Genomic DNA, 23460 nt, shown 5'->3' with positions numbered 1-23460 from the left:
TCAACGTCTGGTATATTGCAAATATTTTTCCAAAGTTCTTTTCAGAGCTACCTTCACTTCCTTATTTTTCAGGCTATAGATGAGGGAATTCAGCATGGGAGTGACTACAGTATACTGCACAGAGAAGATCAACTCTATGGGGGAACCTGAGTTTGGCATGAGATGGCGGAGCAAACCTGAGCCATAGTAAAGTGTCACTGCAGTGAGGTGGGCAGAGCAGGTGGAGAAGGCCTTGCTTCTGCCCGAGGTAGAGCTGATGCTTAGGATGGTAGAGATTATACGGGTGTAGGATAAGAAGACCAAAAGGAAGTTTCCCAGCCCATGTAGGAGAGTGGAGCAGAGCAAGGCGATGAGGCTTCTGGAGATATCAGAGCAGGACAGAGGGAGGAGGGATGGCATCTCATAGCTGTAGTGGTGAATGATTTTGGCTTCACAAAAGACCATGTTTACAGCTAGGAGGACATTGATGAGTGCGTCCAGAAAGCCCAGTCCCCATGAGCCCCACACAAGGTGCATATACAGCTGTTTACCCATGATCTGTCCATAAAGTAGTGGGCGGCAGATGGCAGCATGGCGGTCATAGGCCATCCCTGAGAGAAGGCAGGCTTCAGTCCCTGCAGTGACAAACACAAAGAAGACCTGAGCCAGGCAGCCCTCTACTGAAATGGTTTTCCTCTGTGACAGGAGGTTCTCCAGCATCTTGGGCACAATGACTGAAGAGAAGCAGAGATCAACAAAAGAGAGGTGACTCAGGAAGAAATACATGGGCTTATGGAGACAAGAATCAGCCCTGATCATGAGCAGCAGCATCAGGTTTTCCATTATGGTCAGGAGGTAAATCCCCAGGAACAGCACAAAGAGCAGAGCCCGGATGTTGGGGTCGGCAGACAGCCCAAGGAGGAGGAACTCGGTGATGGTGCTGTGATTCCCCAAGGCCATTTACAAAGGCTACTCCCTAGAAATAACTCGTAAAATCATAGCAGCCAAGTCAAGATTACTCCAGACAGTTTTCTCATGGTACTGATTCTCTTTTCATATCGGTCACATGGAACATAAAGGTGATTGAGGTGTAGTCTTTGCTCTTTAAATGGTCCACTGAAGAACATGGATGTGAAAACAAGAAATTGTAACAGTGTAATTAATATGAAGAGAGCTCAAATTTTGATTTATATAGGGGTCAGTAATGATAATACATTGAAGAAATTTGAACACATTTTTAAAGAAAGCATATGATTGGCCGGGCGCGGTGGCTCATGCCTGTAATCCCAGCACTTTGGGAGGCCGAGGCGGGTGGGTCACCTGAGGTCCGGAGTTCGAGACCAGCCTGACCAACATGGAGAAACCCTGTCTCTACTAAAAATACAAAATTAGCTGAGCGTGGTGGCTCACGCCTGTAATCCCAGCTACTTGGGAGGCTGAGGCAGGAGAATCACTTGAACCTGGGAGGTGGAGGTTGTGGTGAGCTGAGATTGTGCCATTGTACTCCAGTCTGGGCAACAAGAGCGAAACTCTGTCTCAAAAAAAAAAAAAAAAAAAAAAAGAGAAAGCAAGCATATGATTGACCTAGGAAAATAAATATCAAAGAGACAATTAATTGGCATGAAGAATGTGTTCGAACACTCAAGACTGAGGAAAAATCAAGTCATGTTCAGTAAAACATGGGTAGTTCTGAAAAGCTGATGCTTAGAGTATAATTGAGCCACACAGATCAATGGCTAAGTGGACTCCTGTGTCAGACTACGTTCACATTCCAGCTGTACTATTAATTAGCTATATGACTTGTACAATATACACAAAGCTCTGTATCTCAATTTCTTAGCATATAAAATGCATATAATAGTACTATGTAAGGTTTTGAGGATTAAGTATGAGATTATATATAAGGCGCTTCAAACTACCTACTCCTAACTGTTCATTGACATTTGTTATTATTAAAATTATTTATTAAGTTTGTAAGTCTAGATAAAACTCAGATAAATTCTCCTATAGGGTGAAGCACTATCAAAAATCAAAGTTGTTTCTGCTAATGCTGCTGTTGTTATTCTTACTTTGTGCCTTTAGTAAGAAAATCACATTGAAATCATTACTGGTAGAAGCCCACTCCTGCTCATTACCTCAATTAGAAGAAAAACAGGAGGTGAGGAATTATTTTGGTGTGGAGGCTTTTTTTTTTTTTTTAAGAGATAAGCCACTTTGCAGTTACTGTGGATGCTGTCATTCAGAAAGGAGGGCATGTAATTCCTCCTAATAGGTATTGCTAGCAGACTCCAGACATGACAAGTGGGAGAGAAGTTGGTTGGGACTCATGTAGACACCTAGGGGAATCTTCGATATAATTACTAGGGAAGATGTGTATCCCAGGAATGCCTGGAATCTCTGGACAAGTAAGCAAGAGGAAGACTTGAAAGGATTTCATGATACAGGAATACATGAGTGGGTATATAGGGTGTAGCAACAGCCAGGATTCTGTGCAGTACTGCAGATTCTGGACCACTGTCTCAGACAATAGGAAAAAAGTTGGGAATTCATCTTGTAGGACTGCAAAGTTGGACTCTGAGCATCTAGTTTCTGCTGGAAATGCCTGCTGCTGGTAATCCCTACCTTACAGGGGGATGTCCTGTCCCACTATTCTCTGATCATTTCTCCCTTATGGCCAGATTTCTCCCTTATGGCCAGAATGTGTTCTCCCTCATGGCCCTCAAGTATGTATTTCATGAGTCTTCAGGTCTGGGTTACAACAGTGCTCTATTTCCTTGAACAGTGAATGTTTACTCATAACTCCCAGCTTTGGCCTTACATCCTAAGTCTGACCTTGGGTCACCCATAGGACTCATTATGATGTCCCCATCAGTTTCCTGGTCCTGGCTATTCCTGATGAGTTCAAAGCCCAGCCAAGGGGGACATCTGAATCTTTACTAATTAAATCTTAATCTAGAAACTCAGCCTCAAAATCCTTCCCATGCCCCAAATACAGATTGCCTGTACATCCTGTCCAGTACGGCAATCTTCTCTCCAACTTGGCTGCAGGATTTTTATTTAGCTGCCTCTGCTAAAAATAACAATGAACTGGAGAAGGTTACTTTTAAAATATTGTTTCATGGTTGAGTTTATAAAGTCCTATTGATGATAAAATGCTTTAGTGAATTCTACACTAATAAGTTAAATAGCCATAGGGCAGGTCCTTTTTTCAAAGGTTCTAAAATATCCTTTAGTTTTCCTGTTTCTGAAACCAATGTCTCATTTATATGCAGTATAGTTTGGTTTAACCAATCTGCAGTGCAGCTATGTTAAGGTTGCCGGTTCAGGTGATTGCCTTTGTTGGACAGGAGAACAGCTTTTATGTTCTGTAGTCACAATACGAAGTCAGATTTAATAAGAAAGAACTTTAATAACATTGATTGTTATAAGGACCAATGGGGATCTCCTAGGTGTGGCCTTTGGAACATCTAGATTGATGCAATGGCCTATAATCATTAAATCTAAATCCTTAGAATCTAGTGGGAGTTGAAAATGGTGTTTTGTTCCCCAAGCAGGAAAGAAATAGTTTTCAACTGACATTCTAAAGCCTAGTCTCTCTGGGACTTCTCAGGTGAAATCACCTCCAGGCAAATTTGTTGTGAAAAATGATTTTTTGATCAAATAGTTAAAAAGAAAAAAGTTCACAAGCTCACAAACATTCATTTGCATAAAGTCTGTTCAAATATATTTTCTTTGATCGATCCATTTTGATGGCTACACAGGAACCTGTTACAGTTTGATTGGTCAGAATAGGGATATTTAGGGAAGCATTGGTTTAATAGTTTATTAGAGTCATAAGTAGTAACAGACTGTAGTATAAATGAAAATTTGTATTTATTTATTTACAATGAGGTATAATGTTTTTATTCAAACTAGACTCTCTGGCAAAAGATTATTTCCTACTGTCCCTTGCCAATTTATTTTTGAGAGAGGCTCTCACTCCCATTTCCCAGGTTGGAGTACAGTGGTGCAAACACGGCTCACTGCAGCCTTGACTTCCTGGGCTCAGGTGATTCTCCCACCTCAGCCTCCTGAGTAGCTGGGCGACTGTAGGCATGCGCCATCACACCCAACTAATTTTTTGTGTTTTTAGTAAAGACAGGGTTTTGCCACATTACTCAGGCTGGTCTCAAACTCCTGGACTCAACTTGGCCTCCCAAAGTGCTGGCATCACAAGCATGAGCCACTGCACTCGGCTCAACTTATTAACTAAGCAAAACAAATACAACTTAAGGATATTTAGAATAATCAATCAATTTTTTAAAACATTTGCTTTCCTTGTTGGTAAGGAATTTAAAGTTTTTAATTTTTATTCATCTATTGATTAGAACATTTATTCATAGATGTATCTAAGAATTTATATATGTATGTATGTGTATATTTAAGAGTTCCTTGAAATTTGATAAGATTTATATATGTAAATATATAAAGTGCATACTTATATATAAAATGTATATCCCCATATATAAAAATGTATGCATACCTCTTTGATCATGTGTATATGTGTGTATGTTGCAGTTGAATAATGTATATTGAAAGTGTTATAGTGGTTTTTGCTTTAATAAACCATCATGAGCAATTGTTATTATCTACTCTTTTGTGGGTTATTTTTTAAAACAGGAGATTAATTAATTGGACTGAATAAAATAAAAATTATTTCTGTTCATTGACAGACAACATTAAGACAGTGAAAAAGCAAACCAAAGATTGAGTGAAGATAAATATAGTATATATGTGTGTTATGGGGGTATACATAGAATATGAAAAGAAGTACTACAAATAAGTAATAAAATTTCAAATACAAATTTAAATAGGAAAAACAGTTAAAAGGTCCTTTTACAAAAGAGGATTTCTAAATAGCCAATAAGCAAATTAATAAATGATGAACATTATTAGGAGGTGTAATTTAAACCTTAATGAGAGACTGCTTCACAAATGTCAGAGTCTGAGGTTGCTCATTTTAAATTATTATTAAACTGCACATACATATTTTATACTCTTTGTAACAAAAGTATCTTAGAAAAATAAAAGAAAAGCTCTCCCTCTCCCTCTCCCTCTCCCCACGTCTCCCTCTCCCTCTCTTTCCACGGTCTCCCTCTCCCTCTCTTTCCACGGTCTCCCTCTCCCTCTCTTTCCACGGTCTCCCTCTCCCTCTCTTTCCATGGTCTCCCTCTCCCTCTCTTTCCACCGTCTCCCTCTCCCTCTCTTTCCACGGTCTCCCTCTGATGCCGAGCCGAGCCGAAGCTGGACTGTACTGCCGCCATCTCTGCTCACTGCAACCTCCCTGCCTGATTCTCCTGCCTCAACCTGCCCAGTGCCTGCGATTGCAGGCACGCGCCGCCACGCCTGATTGGTTTTCGTATTTTTTTGATGGAGATGGGGTTTCGCTGTGTTGGCCGGGCTGGTCTCCAGCTCCTAACCGGGAGTGATCTGCCAGCCTCGGCCTCCTGAGGTGCCGGGATTGCAGATGGAGTCTCGTTCACTCAGTGCTCAATGTTGCCCAGGCTGGAGTGCAGTGGCGTGATCTCGGCTTGCTACAATCTCCACCTCCCAGCCTCCTGCCTTGGCTTCCCAAAGTGCGGAGATTGCAGCCTCTGCCCGGCCGCCACCCAGTCTGGGAAGTGAGGAGTGTCTCTGCCTGGCCGCCCATCATCTGGGATGTGAGGAGCCCCTCTGCCCGGCTGCCCAGTCTGGGAAGTGAGGAGTGCCTCTTCCCGGCTGCCATCCTGTCTAGGAAGTGAGGAGCGTCTCTGCCTGGCCGCCCATCGTTTGAGATGTGGTGAGCGCCTCTGCCCCGCCGCCCCGTCTGGGATGTGAGAAGCGCCTCTGCCCGGCCACGACCCTGTCTGGGAGGTGAGGAGCGTCTCTGCCCGGCCGCCCAGTCTGAGAAGTGAGGAGCCCCTCCGCCCGGCAGCTGCCCCGTCTGAGAAGTGAGGAGCCCCTCCACCCAGCAGCCGCCCCATCCGAGAGGTGGGGGGGCAGCCCCCACCTGGCCAGCCACCCTGTCCGGGAGGGAGGTGGGGGTCAGACTCCACCCAGCCAGCCGCCCCGTCTGGGAGGGAGGCGGGGGGTCAGCCCCTGGCCGGCCAGCTGCCCCGTCAGGGAGGGAGGTGGGGGGTGCCTCTGCCCAGCCACTGCCCCGTCCGGGAGGTGGGGGGCACCTCTGCCCGGCCGCCCCTTCTGGGAAGTGAGGAGCCCCTCTGCCTGGCCGCCTCCCCGTCTGGGGAGTGTACCCAACAGCTCATTAAAAACGGGCCATGATGACGATGGCAGTTTTGTCAAATAGAAAAGGGGGAAATGTGGGGAAAAGATAGGGAAATCAGATTGTTGCTGTGTCTGTGTAGAAAGAAGTAGACATAGGAGACTCCATTTTGTTCTGTACTAAGAAAAATTCTTCTGCCTTGGGATGCTGTTGATCTATGACCTTGCCCCCAACCCGGTGCTCTCTGAAACATGTGCTGTGTCCACTCAGGGTTAAATGGATTAAGGGCGGTGCAAGATGTGCTTTGTTAAACAGATGCTTGAAGGCAGCATGCTCGTTAAGAGTCATCACCACTCCCTAATCTCAAGTACCCAGGGACACAAACACTGCGGAAGGCCCCAGGGTCCTCTGCCTAGGAAAATCAGAGACCTTTGTTCACTTGTTTATCTGCTGACCTTCCCTCCACTATTGTCCTATGACCCTGCCAAATCCCCCTCTGTGAGAAACACCCAAGAATGATCAATTAAAAAAAAAAAAAGTGGGCAAAGGATATGAACAGACACTTCTCAAAAGAAGACATTTATGTAGCCAACAGACACATGAAAAAATGCTCATCATCACTGGTCATCAGAAAAATGCAAATCAAAACCACAATGAGATACCATCTCATACCAGTTAGAATGGCGGTCATTAAAAAGTCAGGAAACAACAGATGCTGGAGGGGATGTGGAGAAATAGGAACACTTTTACATTGTTGGTGGGAGTGTAAACTAGTTCAACCATTGTGGAAGACAGTGTGGCGATTCCTCAGGGATCTAGAACTAGAAATACCATTTGACCCAGTGATCACATTACCGGGTATCTACTGAAAGGATTATAAATCATGCTACTATAAAGACACATGCACACATATGCTTATTGCGGCACTATTCATAATAGCAAAAACTTGGAACCAACCCAAATGTCCATCAATTATAGACTGGATTAAGAAAATGTGGCACATATACACTATGGAATACTATGCAGGCATAAAAAAGGATGAGTTCACATCCTTTGCAGGGACATGGATGAAGCTGGAAACCATCATTCTGAGCAAACTATCACAAGGACAGAAAACCAAACACCACATGTTCTCACTCATAGGTGGGAATTGAACAATGAGAACACTTGGACACAGGGCAGGGAACATCACATATAGGGGCCTGTCATGGGGTGGGGGGCAGGGGGAGGGATAGCATTAGGAGAAATACCTAATGTAAATGAACCTAATGAGTTAATGGGTACAGCAAACCAACATGGCACATGTATACGTATGTAATAAACCTGCACGTTGTGCACAACTACCCTAGAACTTAAAGTATAATAATAAAATTAAATAAATAAAATAAAATAAAATAAAAAAAGAAAAAAAAATACATTGTTGTTCCTGCAATAATAAAAATACATAGAAAAGTAGGTTAAATTAAAAATAGATCAACTGTTAGCTTTGAAGATCTCTCTCAATCATTTATGTTGCCTCTTTGGTCATCTCTCTTGCAGAATTTCCTACAAAAATTTTTTGAAATGGTGTGATGGCAGTTTGGTACTGGGATTATTAACAGCGATTAATCCTTAATGGGTCAGCTTATAAGTAACCAGATTCTCTAGCCTTCTGAAGACCAGATGGAATCCTCAACGTGGTCAGAAAATATGGTTAACTGAGTGAGAACATTGAAGTTGCAGGGAATAGCCCTGTGATGTGAGGAGCTCTGCTGAACCTTGGAGGCATAGGGCTGCCTTTGTGCAGTTATGCTGCCTTACCCTTTTCTTTTTCCATTATAGGGACTTTACCTGTGCCTTCTGGTATCTTTCTCTCAATCATGGTCATCCATGTGATACCAGTACACTGACTATAACCAGCACCCAAGTAGAATGATTACAACAGGCCACCCCTGTGCCCAGACTTTGATTTTAAGGAAGCCCTGCCCCTGGAGTTGTAGCCTGTGCCTCACCTTAAGTCCAGGAATGCAAGACAGAAACATTCTATTATTCATGGAAGGCACCTTCTGTTGTTTACAGTTATAATGCTCACTGAATGTTTTGTTTGGCGGTTTGATTTTTAGTAGCAGTTGAGAAGAGGGATTACATGGGGAACATCAATGACAAGAAGAGTAAGAAAAGTTGTGATTATGGTCAATTGGAATGAGGTGAGCTTGTAAAAAAAGGCCTGAGAAAGGTTTGAGTTAGCATTAAATACATCCTGGGGGCTAGGCACAGTGGCTCATGCCTGTAATCTCAGCACTTTGGGAGGCTGAGGCAGGAGGATCTCTTGAAGCCAGGAGTTCAAGACCAGCCTGGGCAACATAGCAACACCCTGTCTCTACAAAAAATAAGAAAAAATAGCTGAGTGTGGTGGCATATGCCGGTGGTCCTAGCTACTCTGGAGGCTGAGGTGGGAGGATCACTTGAGCCCAGGAATTTGAGGCTGCAGTGAGCCACAGTTGTACCACTGCACTCCAGCCTGGGCAACATAGCAAGACCCTGACTCTAAAATAAATAAATTTCCTTTTCGCTGATAGAAAATTTCTCTTATGATACGTTCATGCAGTCATAACACAAATTCTGCATAGAAACATACTGTTCCTTGTAATACCTTGGTATATAGTTCTCCTTTGTGTAATTTGATAATTTCAGGGATTATTAACCACTGAAATTATCCACCAGGCATTTTCTCCTGGACATCATATTCTAAAAAGTGCTTATCAACAAGTAGACATTGATATATTAAGCATGATTTTTTGAATAATTTATTCCTTTTAAGCTGTTTTTTTTCATATTTGGCTATATTTTATATTATAGGGCCTTATCAGTTTTAGTATCTACCATACATTTGTTTCTGTGTAATGAGGTATTACTCTGTTGCCAGTGGACTTAGTATGTGTATATCAAAATTTTGTACAATTGACCATTGAACAACAAAGGGGTTAGGGGTGCCAGCCCCCCACATGGTTGAAAATCTATGAAAAACTTTTTTTTTTTTTTTGAGACAGGGTCTTGCTCTTGTCCCCCAGGCTGGAGTGCAATGGTGCCACCTCGGCTCACTGCAACCTCTGCCTGCCGGGTTCAAGCGATTCTCTTGCCTCAGCCTCCTGAGTAGCTGGGATTACAGGTGCCCACCACCACGCCCAGCTAATTTTGTATTTTTAGTGGAGACAGGGTTTCACTATATTGGCCAGGCTGACCTGACCTCAGGTTGAACTCCTGACCTCAGGTTATCCGTCCGCCTTGGCCTCCCAAAGTGCTGGGATTACAGGCATGAGCCACCGCACCCAGCCACCGTGAATAACTTTTGGCCCTGCCAAAACTTAACTACGAGTAGCCTACAGTTGACCAGAAGCATTATCAATAACTAAACAGTTGATTAACATATATTTTGTATGTTATATGTATTATATACTGTATTCTTACAGTGAAGTAAGCTAGAGAAAAGAAAATGTATTAAGAAAATCATAAGGAGATAAAATATATTTACTATTCACTAAGTGGAAGTGGACCATTCTAAAGGTCTTCATCCTCATAGTCTTCAGGCTGAGTAGGCTGAGGAGGAATAGGAAGAGGAGGGGTTGGTTTTGCTTTCTCAGGAGTGGCAGGAGTAGATCCATGCAGTTCAAACCTGCGTTGTTCTAGGGTCAACTGCAGGTCCATTTTATTTATTTTTCTCTATTTAAAATGTAATAATCACTGAGATTCTATAACACTAGCAAGGTTCTTCATTTTCCAATTTAAATAATATGTTTAAATTATCAAATGTCCACAAATAGAAGAATGATATTTTATTCTACCAGAGTTTCAGACATTTCTATAATTCAGGCATGGAGAGGAACATATGGGGAACAATTTTGTGACCGAGTTGAATGTTGCACTTTTCCACAGAATGAGAACATCGTAGACTCCCTGTCTTCTTAGATTTCCTGTACACATTGGGATGCAGGTGTGGTGTGGTGGCTAATGATAACATATCTGTTCTAACATCTATTAATAAGTCCAGGGAAAACATGTCTGGCCAAAATTGTTGGCAACATCTTTTAAAATATAGAACTTTTTGCATCTATTTCTCTGTGAGCCCTATTATAAAATCGAGCACAAAAGATAAGTCCAAATCAATGTCTTTTATAATATTCTGCTTTTTGACTGTAACAGTCATCCACTCTGCACAATTGTATCTAGCTTTGTCTGCTTAATTTTATAATAATTTTTCCATAATAATTTACATACATAGTGAAAGACAGTTTTGGTTATTTTAATGTTCTATTAAGCATTTTCTCCAAAGTTTGCTGAGCAATTTCCTAAGCATGTCATTAGGCATTTTTCATTGTTACATTTTTATAATTTATTTCCTTACATTGTTTAGAACAGTAAAGTTGGACTTTCATGCTTATAAACAACATTATATTAAACTCCTTTGTACTGGTCATTTCTTTGGTATTTAAAATCACTCCTGAAATGGAACTGGTGGGTTAATGGGTAAAAATATTGGTAAGACTCCTGTCATACACTGACAGATTGCCTTCCAAAAGGGTTGGCCAGTTTACTCTGATACCAGAACTGAGGTAAACAACTGTTTCTCCCCTGCATTAAATACCACTGGCTTAAAAAATATGGTACTAGTTTGAAAAGTACGAAATGATATTAATTATTGTGAATTAATATTTCTTTTGTTATTACTGATAATACATTTACTATGTTTATTTACTAATTATATTTATTCTTTTGGAGATATTTTCTTCCTTTCTTTTACCATCCCTAATATATTGTAGTCAATGATTATCTTATCCATTTGATTGACAACATAGATATATTAAAACTAGTCTGTGTTGGTTGTTGCCAGTTTATCCACTCTCTTAGAATGAATTTTTGTTTTAGAAAACTCAGAAATAAATCTATACATCTACAGTGAACTCATGTTTCATGAAGGTGCCAAGAACATACATTAGGGAAACATACATTTTCTTCAATAAATGGTGCTGGGAAAACTGGATATCTTTATGCAGAAGAATGAAACTAGATCTCCATCTCTCACCATATACAAAAAATAAAAAGTAGATCAAAGACTTAAATCTACGACCTCAAACTATGAAACTACTAAAAGACAACATTGAGGAAATTCTCCAGGACATTTGAGTGGGCAAAGATTTCCTGAGTGATACACAACCAGCACAGGCAACCAGAGCAAAAAAGGACAAATGGGATCACATCAATTTAAAAAACTCCTGGACAGCAAAGGAAAAATAAAAAAGAGAAGAGATAACCCACAGAATGGGAGAAAATATTTGCAAGCTACCCATCTGACAGGGAATTAATAACAAGAATGTATAAGGAGCTCAAACAATTCCATAGGAAAAAATCCAATACTCTGACTAAAAAATGGGCAAAAGGGCTGAATAGACATTTCTCAAAAGAAGACATAAATGGCAAACAGGTATAAGGTGCTCAACATTATTGATCATCAGAGAAATGCAAAAACTACAATGTGATATTATCTTACTCCAATTAAAATGGCTTTTATCCAAAAGACGGGTAATAACAAATGCTGGTGAGGATGTGGAGAAAAGGGAACCTTTGTACATTGTTGATGGGAATGTAAGTTAGCACAACCACTATGGAGAATAGTTTGGAAGTTTCTCAAAAAACTAAAAATAGAGCTACCATATGATCCAGCAATCCCACTGCTGGGTATATACTGAAAAGAAAGAAAATTAGTATATCAAAGACATACCTGCACTCCCATGATTATTGCAGCACTATTCACAACAGCCAAGATTTGGAAGCAACCTAAGTGTCCATCAACAGATGAATGGATAAAGAAAATGTGATACATATACACAATGGAGTATTATTCAGCCACAAAAAAGAATAAGATCCCGTCATTTGCAACAACATGGATAGAATTGAAGGTCATTATATTAAGTGAAATAAATGAGGCATAGAAAGACAAACTTCTCATGTTTGCACTTATTTGTCAGAACTAGAAATTAAAACAATTGAACTCATGGAGATAGAGAGTAGAAGGATGGTTATTAGAGGCTGTAAAAGGTAGTTGGGGGGTGGGGTGGAATTGGGGATGGTTAATGGGTACAAAAAATAGTAAGAAATAACATCTAGTATTTGCTAGCACAACAGGTGGCTATGGTAAAAAAATAAAATTCTTTTTGAGACGGGGTGGTTGTTCTGTCATGACCATGGCTCACTGCAGCCTCAATCTCCCAGGCCCAATGGATCCTCCTGCCTCAGCCTCCTGAGTAGCTGGGACTACAAGTGCATACTACCACACCCAGCTAATTTTTTTTTTTTTGTGGACATAAAGTTTTACGATGTTGCCCAGGCTGGTCTTGAACTCCTGGGCTCAAGCGATCCACTCACTTTGGCTTCCCAAAGTGCTGGGATTATAGGTGTGAACCACTGCACCTGGCCTGTAAAAAATTATTTAATTGTACATTTAAAAATAACTAAGAGTATAATTGGATTGTTTGTAACATAAAGAATAAATGCTTAAGGTGACAGATACCCCATTTACCCTGATGTGATTATTACACACTGCAAGCATGTATCAAAATATCTCATGTAATACATAAATATGTACACCTACTATGTACTAATAAAAATGACAAATTACAAATTACAAAAAGGAAAAGTGAAAAAAACCCAAGATTTGGGTGCTAGATGTGATTGTTACTGGGATGTCATTGCTCCAGGCCCTCTCAATTGAGAGCAGGAAATACATGTGTGCATATGTACTTGTGTATATACGCATATCTATAAATATTCCTTTATGTAATCATCTCTAGTTGTGTTAAGTTAAACATGAGTTCATTCTGACATTTCCAACTCTAATCTATTATTACATAGATACTTCCAGCCTTCTCCCATTTCAACAGTGAGAGAAATCTATCTTTCACCATCTGCCATCTATTTACTTAATTGTTCACATATACATGAATGGCAGTATCAGAATTGTTAACCTATTCCCCCTCTGGAAAACAAGTTTATTAACTAGAATACAGTTCCCATGTACAGGTGCTTTTGCCTTTAGTCTTACAGACTCTACTTATTTCCAAAGGTATTTACGTCTATACCTTTTCCCCCTAACCACTTCAGTGACGTGAATTCAGCATTCAAACCTGGGATTCCCCCAGTCTCCTAAAAGATATATTTTAAATTTGCATACATGTAGGTTCATTCTTTTTTGCTACATAGTTTAATGGGCCTTGGCAGGTGCATAGTGTCATGTAACCACAATGATAGTATCATACAGAACAGTTTCACTGCCCTAAAAAATCCCAGTGATTCACCTATTCAATTTTCTTCCACTTCCCCATGAACTCTTAGCAACCAGTAATATTTTTACTTTCTGTATAGTTTTGCCTTTTCCAAAAGGTCATATAATCATACAGGTTGTAGCCTTTTCACACTGGTTTCTTTCACTTACCAATATGCATTTAAGATTCATCCATGTCTCTTTTCATGGCCCGATAGCTCATTTCTTTTTATTGCTGAATGGCATTCCATTGTATGGATGTACCACAGTTTGTCATCCATTAACTTATTGAAGAACATCTTGCTTACTTCCAGTTTTGAACAATTATAAATACAGTTAGTTATAATTATTTATGGTAGTTATGTTCTATAAAGGTGTTGTGAACATTAAATTAGTGAATATAGAACCATCGCTCCTTGCGGAAATACAAGGTTAGGTTCCTGCAAATCTCTGGTCACAGTTTCATCAAATGATTAATAGATAACCTTGTTTTATGTGTGCTTCTGTTTAAAGACACTTTATTTAATACATATTTCTTACAAAGAATTATTTGCACAGTCTTTGCATGATTTAAAAACAGGGCTTTGAAGGTCATTTGCATTATATAGGTTCATTTGCCAATGTCCTTGTGAAAGAAACCAGTCTCATCAGTGTTGAACACTTACTGTTATACGCAACTCTTTTCACATATAACGCTTAGCATGTATTCTAAAAATTTATCCGTAGCTTCCTTACCCTCTGAACCTGTATCACCTGCACATGTAATACTTTTTTCTCTCTCTTTTTTTTGAGACAGAAGACAGAGTCTTGCTCAGTAGCCAAAGCTGGAGTGCAGTGATGCGATCTTGGCTCACTGCAACCTCTGCCTCCAAGTTCAAGCAATTCTAGTGCTTCAGCCTCCTGAGTAGCTGGTATTACAGGCATGTGCCACCAAGCCCAGCTAATTTTTTTTGTATTTTTAGTAGAGACGGGGTTTCACCATGTTGGCCAGGCTGGTCTCGAACTCCTGACTACAGGTGATCTGCTCACCTCGGCCTCTCAAGTGCTGGGATTACAGGCATGAGCCACTGCACCTGGCTTAACACTTTTCATACTGTATTGCCTTTCAAAACATGTGACTTAGCCAGCACTAACCAAAAAGATTTAGCATTTTCCTCACCCTGAATAATGTGACTATAAATTTATTTGGCTTTCAGCCTCACAGCAATGTGGTCCACTATCTATTTTTTAAAATAAATTTTATATTTTAGAAAAGTTTTAGGCTTATAGCTGTTGGGGTGATCAGATCGAACACCAGGCCATGGGGGCGATGGAGTCTGGTGGAGTCAAAGGAATGAGAAAAGGCAGGTTAAGGCATAAAGTGGGACCAGGGAGGTTAGTATGTGCTCTTATATGAGTAATATAGAAAGGGGAATGTCCTTGTTGTACTGCTTGCTGCAAAGAATGAAATAAAAGATTAAGTTGGTCATCAGTTACCTTCCAAATTAAGGCACATTCAATATTTTGCGTGACTTGCACCACATAAGCTGAATCAGAAACAATGTTTACCGGCTGTTTAAAAGTTTTCAACACTGTTACCACAGCCATAAGTTCAGCCCTTTGAGCAGGAGCAAAGTCAGTTTGAAAACTTGTTGTTGAGGTCCTACAAATGAGGCTTTTCCATTACTAGACCCATCAGTAAAAACAGTAATGGCCCCTTCAATAAGGGCTTTTTGAGTAATGGAAGGCAATATCCATGATGTCAATTTTAGACACTGGAAGATTTTAGACTTAGGATAATGATTATCAAGAATGCCAATAAAACTGGCCAAATTAACTTGCTATTCCTGGGAATTAATATAAGCTTGTTGAATTTGTTGTTTAGTTAATGGAACTATAATTAGATTTGGGTCATATCCCATTAATTTTGTTGTGTGCAGCCTTGCTTGATTATTAGCACAGCAATTTGATCTAGATATAGTGAGTGTTTTAGTTGTATTGCGAGGTAGAAAAAGCCACTCAACTAGATCATTTTGTTGAACAATAACTCCTGTAGGGGAATGCTTAGTAGGAAAAACTAAAAACTGTAATGGCTGCACTGGATCAATTCATTCCACTTGAGCTTGTTGAATTTTTTCTTCATTTAACTGAAGTTCCTCCAATTCTTCTTTGGATGGGGAACGTTTACTGTTAAGGTTAGAATCACCTCTTAAAGTAGAAAAGAGGTGAGACATAGCATAGGTAGGAATACCTAAAGTGGGGTGAACCCAATTAATGTCTCCCAGTAATTTTTGAAAATCATTCAGTGTTTTTAAATTATCTCTTTGAATTTGAACCTTTTGAGGCTTAATAGTACTTTGTTCTACTTTCATCCCTAAATATTGAAAGGGAGTAGAAGTTTGAATTTTATCAGGGGCTATAATTAACCCTGCTGCAGTTATAGTCTTTTCTAACTGTTTGTAGCATAACATTAATTCTTCCCTAGTTTCAGCTGCACATAGAATATCATCCATGTAATGAATACTATAACATTTTTAAAACTGTTCTCTAACTGGCTTAATAACTTTCCCAACATAGGTTTGACAAATAGTTGGGCTATTTAACATGCCCTGTGGTAGTACCTTCCAATGGTATCTGTCTGCTGGTTCTTTGTTATTTATGGCAGGAACAGTAAAAGCAAATTTTTCATAATCTTGGGTAGCTAAAGGAATGGCAAAAAAGCAATACTTTAGATCTATTACTATAAGAGGCTAGTATTTTTGGAATCATGGCTGGGGGCGGGCAGCCTTGGTTGCAGTGCACCCATGGGTTGAATTACAGCATTAACAGCTTGTAAATCTGTTAACATTCTCCATTTCCCTGATTTTTTCTTACTGACAAACACAGGAGAATTCCAAGGAGAGAAAGTAGGCTCTATGTGTCCCTTTTGCAATTGTTCCTGCACCAATTCTTTTAAAGCCTCCAGTTTTTCCTGTTTCAGTGGCCATTGCTCCACCCAAATCAGTTTGGCAGTTAGCCAAACAAGAGGATTGGGAGCAGGAGGCTCAACAATGGCTGTTCCTAAAAATGATACCCCAATTTGGTTCAATCTGTTTGCCCTTTTAATTCTAAAGATTCTAATTGGCCACTTTCATTTTTTCCTAATTCTTTTCCTGGGAGATATCCCATATTTTTCATCATTAGTTTACTATTATTACTATATTGGTCCATAGGAATAGATATTTCAGCACCCCATTGTTGCAATAAGTCTCTACCCCATACACTGACAGGAATAGGTATAATAATAGGTTGGATTGTCCCTTCCTGGCCATCTGGCCCTAGACATGGCAAAATCAAGGAACTTTGAAAAACTTCTGAAGCAACTCCTACTCCAGCAATACCAATGAATGCCTTTGCCTTTTGTTTGGGCCAGTGTTGGGGCCATTGATTTAAAACAATAATAGAAACATTAGCTCCAGTATCTACTAGCCCTTCAAAGTCCTTTCCCTGAATTGTTACTGTACAAATAGGTGTTTTGTCAGACACTTGATTAACCCAATATACAGCCTTGCCTGCTGGATTAGTACTACCAAAGACTCCTGTTCTTTTCACTGTGCTGCTCCCTAGTTTTGTGTAAGGCAGTAGCAGCAACTGAGCAATTCTTTCTCGTGGGGAAGCAGACCATGGAGTTGAGGAACTAATAACTAGTTGAATCTCTCCAGTATAATCAGAATCAATTATTCCAGTATGCACAGTGACACCTCTTAAATTTAAACTAAATCTTCCAAGCAATAAACCAACTGTTCCTGAGGGTAAAGGGCCCCTAACCCCTGTGGGGACCTTTTTTGGTGGCTCTCCAGGAAGTAGGGAGATGGGAATTGTGCTGCAGAGGTCTATGGCAGCACTGCCTGCTGTGGTGGGAACAATTATTGCAAGTTTGTAACGGCATTGGCTGTGCTGGATATGCCTCAGTTTGTTGAGCAGCCCAAGGCGGGCCCCTTTTCCCATTTCCCAAAAGAAGTTGTCCATCTTTTCTAAATTTAGAGTGACACTGATTTGCCCAGTGATTGCCTTTTTTACAATGGAGGCATACACCAGGGCTTTTCTGTTGTTTGATGATAGTAGTTCTTGCCTTTTGCTTCCCTTTTTTACATTCCTATTTTGTATGTCCAAATTGCCCACAATTAAAACAAGAAACTGAAAAATGGGGCATATTTTTTCTGACTTTTAATCCAGCCATAGCCTGAGATAAAAGAGTAGACTTAATGTAAGTTACCTCCAATGCCATCACAAGCTTTAATATATTCAGCCAAATGAGCCTTCCCTCTCATAGGTCTAATAGCATTTTGACACTCTGCATTAGCATTATCATATGCAAGAAGTTGTATTACAACATTTTGAGCTGTTTTATCAGTTATGGCTTTATACACAGCCTCTTGGAACCAAGCAATAAAATCAATATATGCTTCTTTAGGTCCCTGTTGGACAGAACTGAAAGAAGGATATTTTTCTCCAGTAACATTTATCCTTTCCCATGCCCGTAAGCACACAAAGTGCAGAAGAACATCCTCCATTACTGCTTGATTTTCTAATCGACCCCAATTAGGGCCGACCCCCATTAACTGTTCAAAGGAAACAGGCACAGGTGGCTGTGCTTGTATGTTTTCCCTTGCCTGAGTTTGAGCCTCACCCGCCCACCAGGTTTTAAACTGTAAGTATTGAGATGGAATCAGAACAGATTTTGTTAAAGTATCCCAATCATGTGGTATTAACCTACTATCAAGAGCCATATTTTTTAGCAAAGTTTGCACAAAAGGAGAGTTTGGCCCATATTGACTAATGGCCTCCTCGAATTCCTTTAACAATGTAAGGGAAAAGGTGGCCCAATTAGTTATATTCTGTCCTCCTTGCCGGGTTATAGTAACTGGAAAATGCCATGCTTCAAGGTCTCCCGTAGCTCTAGCCTTTTGAATAGAATTTTGTGTAGCACCACCAATTGCTCCAAATTTTAATGTTGCCACTACAGGAGTGGTAACTTTTGCAGCTAATTCATCTTCTTGCCCATTAGAGGGATGGGGAGGAGGTGGCCATTCAATTCAGCAGGCAGAGCCAATGGGCTAGTAAAACATACCCTTTTCAGTTTCCCTTTCTTTTCTTTAATTTCCTCTGGTTTTTGCTCCTCGCATTCAGAATCTGAAGTTAGTTTTTTACACTCATCTTTCTCTTCCTTTTCTGAATCTGCCTCATCATCTGTTTGAAATAGCTCAAGAGCTGCCTTTATTAATGCCCACACTGACCAGACAGAAACTGGAATTTTTGCTCCATCTTTATACGCCTTTTTAAACTCTCTTCCAATTCTGTCCCATTCATCCAATCCATAGTCCCTTGTTCTGGGAACCATGAACAAAACTGCTCTACTGTACTGAAAAGTGTTAACAAATTCTGAGTACTAACCTTCACTCCCCCTCTCTGTAATAAATGCCTCAAGAAATTTAAATAAGCAGTATGTTTGCTTGCACTTTGCCCCATAGTTACTCTGGTTCTTCTGAGCACCCAGCTTACCTGCTGAGCTTCCTTCAGTCGTCCTCGGGTGTCCTCTGATGATGCGTCCTCCACTTCCACACGCTCTAGCATTCCATTGCCAGAATCTTCGTCGCCCCACATTGGGCACCAGGGATGTTGGGGTGATCAGACCCAACACCAGGCCATGGGGGCTATGAAGTCCGGTGGAGTCAAAGGAATGACACAAGACAAGTTAAAGAGTACATAGTGTTGGTCCAGGAGCCAATGCTAGTATGGAGGCTGTGAAGGCCCCGAGCTCTGGGACCCCACGCTATTTATTGGTGATCAAACAAAGAAACAGGTGGTGAGGATGTGGGGGTTGAAAGGTAGTGATTCATCAAGTGCGTGATCTACAGCTGTGATGGTTTAGCATTTTCTCTGAAGCATATGGAGATAACGGGAAACATGTTCTTCTAGTTTAAGATGCAATCAATCTATGTGACTGGAACTGCTAGAAGCAAGGAGCCAGCAAGTCTAGACACATTCCAGAGGCCATGGGGGGTTTTATGCCCTGAGCCCTGGATTCCATTCAAGCCATGAGGGGTTTTATGCCCTGGGCTTAGGTTGTAATGCAGCAGGGCAGCCTTCCACCCTTAAGCACAGAGCTTGGTGTTCCATAGGGCACAAGAGGTTTTAAACTCTGGACCCAGGACATGTTCCAAGACTCTTTTTATATTATGTCAGACTAGCAAGTCTTGCCTCAGCTTTTCTCCCAACACATAGCAAAATTGAGCTGAAATTGTATAAAGTTCTCATATACCTCTGTCCCTAAACATGCACAGCCTCCCCAACTATCAATATCCCACACTAGAGTGGTCCTTTCATTATAATTAATTAACATACATTGATACATTATTATCACCCAAAATCTATAGTTTACATTAAGATTCATTCTTGGTGTACATTCTATGATTTTGACAAATGTATACTGACATGTATCTGCCATTATAACATCATACAAAATGTTGTCACTGCCCTAAAAATCCTCTGTGCTCTGCCTACTCATCCCTCCCTCCCCACAACCCCTGGCAACCATTGATCTTTTCACTGTCTCCATAGTTTTGTCTTTTCTAGAGTGTCATATAGTTGGAACCATCCTCTATGAACCCTTTCCAGAGTAGCTTCTTTTGCCTGGTAATATGCGTTTAAGTTTCCTTCATGTGTTTTTATGTCTTGATTGCTCATTTCTTTTTAGTGTTAGGGTTGAATAATATTCTGTTGTTTAGATGTATGACAGTTTATCTACTTCTCAACTGAAGGTCATCTTGTTTGATTCCAATTTTTGGCAACTATGAATAAAGTGGCTATAAACGTCCATGTGCAAGGTTTTGTGTGGATATACACTTTTGACTAATTTGAGTAAATACCCAAATGATTATATGGTAAGAGTATGTTTAGTTTTTTAAGAAACTGACAAACTATCTTCCAAAGTGACCATACCATTTTGCATCCCCACCAGCAGTGAATGAGAATTTCCGTTGCTTCACATCCTCACAAGAATTTGGTGTTGTCAGTATTTTGGACTTTGGCTATTCTAACAGGTGTGTAGTGGTATCTCATTGTTGTTTTAATTTGCAATTACCTAATGACATTTATATGGAGCATCTTTTTAGATGATTATTTTCCATCTGTATTTATTTTTTAGTGAGGTGTCTGTCCTTTTGCCCATTTTTAAATTGCATTGTTCATTTTCTTATTGTTCTTTGTATATTTTGGATAATAGTCCCTTATGGAATATGTCTTTTGCAAATATTTTCTCCCAGTCTGTGGTTTGTCTTCTCATTCCCTTGACAACATCTTTCTGAAAGGAGAAATTCTGAATTTTAATGAAGTCTAGCTGATCAATGATTATGTCCATGGATCATGCCTTTGATGTTGCATCTAAAAAGTTATCTCCATACCCCAAATCATTTAGACTTTCTCCTGTGTTATATTCTAGGAGTTTTAGAGTTTTGTCTTTAACATTTAGGCATTTGATTCATTTTTAGGTTAATTTTTGTGAAGGGCATAAAGCCTGTGTCTAGATTCATTTTATTGCATGTAGATGTCCAGTTGTTCCAAAATCATTTGTTGAAAAGATTATGTTTTCTCCATTGCATTGCCTTTGCTCCTTTGTCAAAGATCGGTTGACCATATTTATGTGGATCTATGTCTGGGCTGTATATATATATTCTATTCCAGTAATCTATTTGTCTATTTGTCCCTTTGTCCAATACCACACTATCTGGATATTTATAGCTTTATAGTAAGTCTTGAAGTTAGGTAGTGTCAGTCCTCTCATTTATTTTTCTCCCTCAATATTGTTGGTTATCCTGGTTATCTTGGGCATTTTGCCTCTCCATATAAACTAGACAGTCAGTTTGTTGATAGTCACAAAATAACTTTCTGGGATTTGGTTGGGATTGCATTGAATCTATAGATTCAATCTATAAATCAGTCAATAGATTGACATAGGTTGAATCTATAGATCAACTTGAAAAGATTGACTTATTGACAATATTGAGTCTTTTTATTCACAAACATGGTATATCTCTCTATTTAGTTATGGTTTGATTTATTTCACCAGTTTTGTAGTTTTCTTTTTTGGGGGTGCTAATGTAAATGATATTGTGTTTTTAACTTCAAATTCAATTTTTACATTGATGAAATATAGGAAAGTGATTGACTTTTGTATATTAATCTTGCATCCTGCAACCTTGCAATAATTGCTTGTTAGTTCCAGCAGTCTTTACATCAATCTTTTGGATTTTTTTACACAGATGATCATATTATCTGTGAACAAAGATAGTTTTACTTCTTCCTTATATATATATATACACACACATATGTATTATACACACACACACACACACACACATAAATACTTTAATTTTACTTTTGTCTTACTGCATTAGGACTTCCAGAATGATGTTGAAAAGGAGGGGTGAGAGGGCACTATGCATTTTAAATATTGCTAATCATTTCATAAATTTACAAATTTAGTTGCTTTTCTATCTTTCCCATAGCTTTGTCCTGTTATTTTAGCACTTTCCATAGGACCTCACATACAGATCAGTGAATTTCCTATTCCTTTGTCTGGATGTACATATGCTTATTCACTAACATTGAATTCATGGCCAACCACACTGTAACTTTTGCCTGATTCAGACCTATCTAGCATAGGTATTGTCTTTGTAAAGCTCATCACAGGCTTCTTGTACTTAGAAATACTAGACAGCACTTCAGCACTATGCTTGGGGACCATTTTAAACAGTGAAATCACCAACAAAAAACATAAATGCATAAAAAATGTGGCACTAAATCGACTGCAAAAGAGTTACTTGTCTACAATATGAGAATTGAAACAAGAAGGCAGAGTTGGGAAGCTCAGTTGCTCAAGCTCAGTTGGGAACGTCCACTTCAGGTGACTCAAATTTTTCACTACTCTCTGCACATCTTTGAATGACCACAAAAGTATCATGAGCATTGATTTTGGGGTTACAAGTTAATTTTAGAAAATAGGTGAATCACAAATATAAAACCTGCAGGTAAGGAGGATTGACTGTAAAGCTGCCATAAATATTCATGTGGAGATTTTATGTGAACATACATTTTTCAACTCAGTTGGATAAATACCTAGAAGCATAAATGCTGGATGGTATGGTAAGATTATGTTTAATTTTGTAAGAGACTGTCAAACTATCAAAGTGCCTGTACCATTTTGCATTTTTTGCATTCTGACCAGCAATGAATGAGAGTTCCTGCTGCTCCACATCCCTCCCAAGAATTTGATAGTGTCAGTTTTTTGGATTGCAGCCATTCTAATAGGTGTGTAGTGGTATCTCTTTGTTGTTTTTATTAGCAATTCCCTAATAACTTATAATGTTGAGCATCTTTTCATCTGCTTATTCGCCATCTGTAGGTCTTGACATCAGATGGTGTGAGTCCCCCTACTTTGTTATTCTTCAATATTGTATTGGCTACTCTATGGCTTTTGCCTTTCCAAATAAAATTTAGGGCTAGTTCATTAATAGCTATAAAATAGCTTCTGGGATTTTGATTGATACTGCATTCAATCTATAGATCAAATTGGGAAAAATGGACATCCTAACAATATTGAGTCTTCAATCCATGAACACAGAATCTTTCTATTTATTTGTGTCTTCTCCAATTTATTTATATCTTCTTTGGTTTTTAAAATCATGATTTTGTAGTTTTCTGTATGTCGATCCTGTATACATCGATTACATGGCTTAGAGTAGGTCCTGAAATGAAGTAATATGTCCTTCAACTTTGTTCTCATAGTTTTGGCTGTTATAGGGTCTTTGCTTTGCCCTATGCATTTTAGAATCAGCTTGCAAATTTCTATGAAAAACCTCCCAGGCTTTTAATATTATATTGCTACGTATTAAAGGATATGTAGCTTGAATATATAAAGAAGTCTAAT

General features: G+C 39.5%; 1 protein-coding gene across 1 annotated transcript, besides 1 other annotated feature; it reads right to left on the bottom strand.

Moving 5' to 3' along the window:
- On the bottom strand, positions 1–939 carry OR8S1 (olfactory receptor family 8 subfamily S member 1). Its single transcript, NM_001390849.1, has one exon. It carries the CDS (start codon positions 937–939, stop codon positions 1–3), a length of 939 nt encoding a protein of 312 aa, NP_001377778.1.
- Positions 234–434: a silencer, noted in NCBI's record as "peak1721 fragment used in MPRA reporter construct". NCBI's record gives its function as "represses an SCP1 promoter by STARR-seq MPRAs in K562 erythroleukemia cells {active_cell/tissue: K562}" and the evidence as "EXISTENCE:reporter gene assay evidence [ECO:0000049][PMID:32103011]".
- Positions 940–23460: the final 22521 nt, after the last annotated feature.

The sequence above is a fragment of the Homo sapiens genome, chromosome 12 (genome assembly GCF_000001405.40).
Source record: "Homo sapiens chromosome 12, GRCh38.p14 Primary Assembly".
Lineage (NCBI taxonomy): Eukaryota > Metazoa > Chordata > Mammalia > Primates > Hominidae > Homo > Homo sapiens.
Note: the sequence above shows the minus strand (reverse complement) of the source record. Positions and strands in the feature narration are given on the sequence as shown.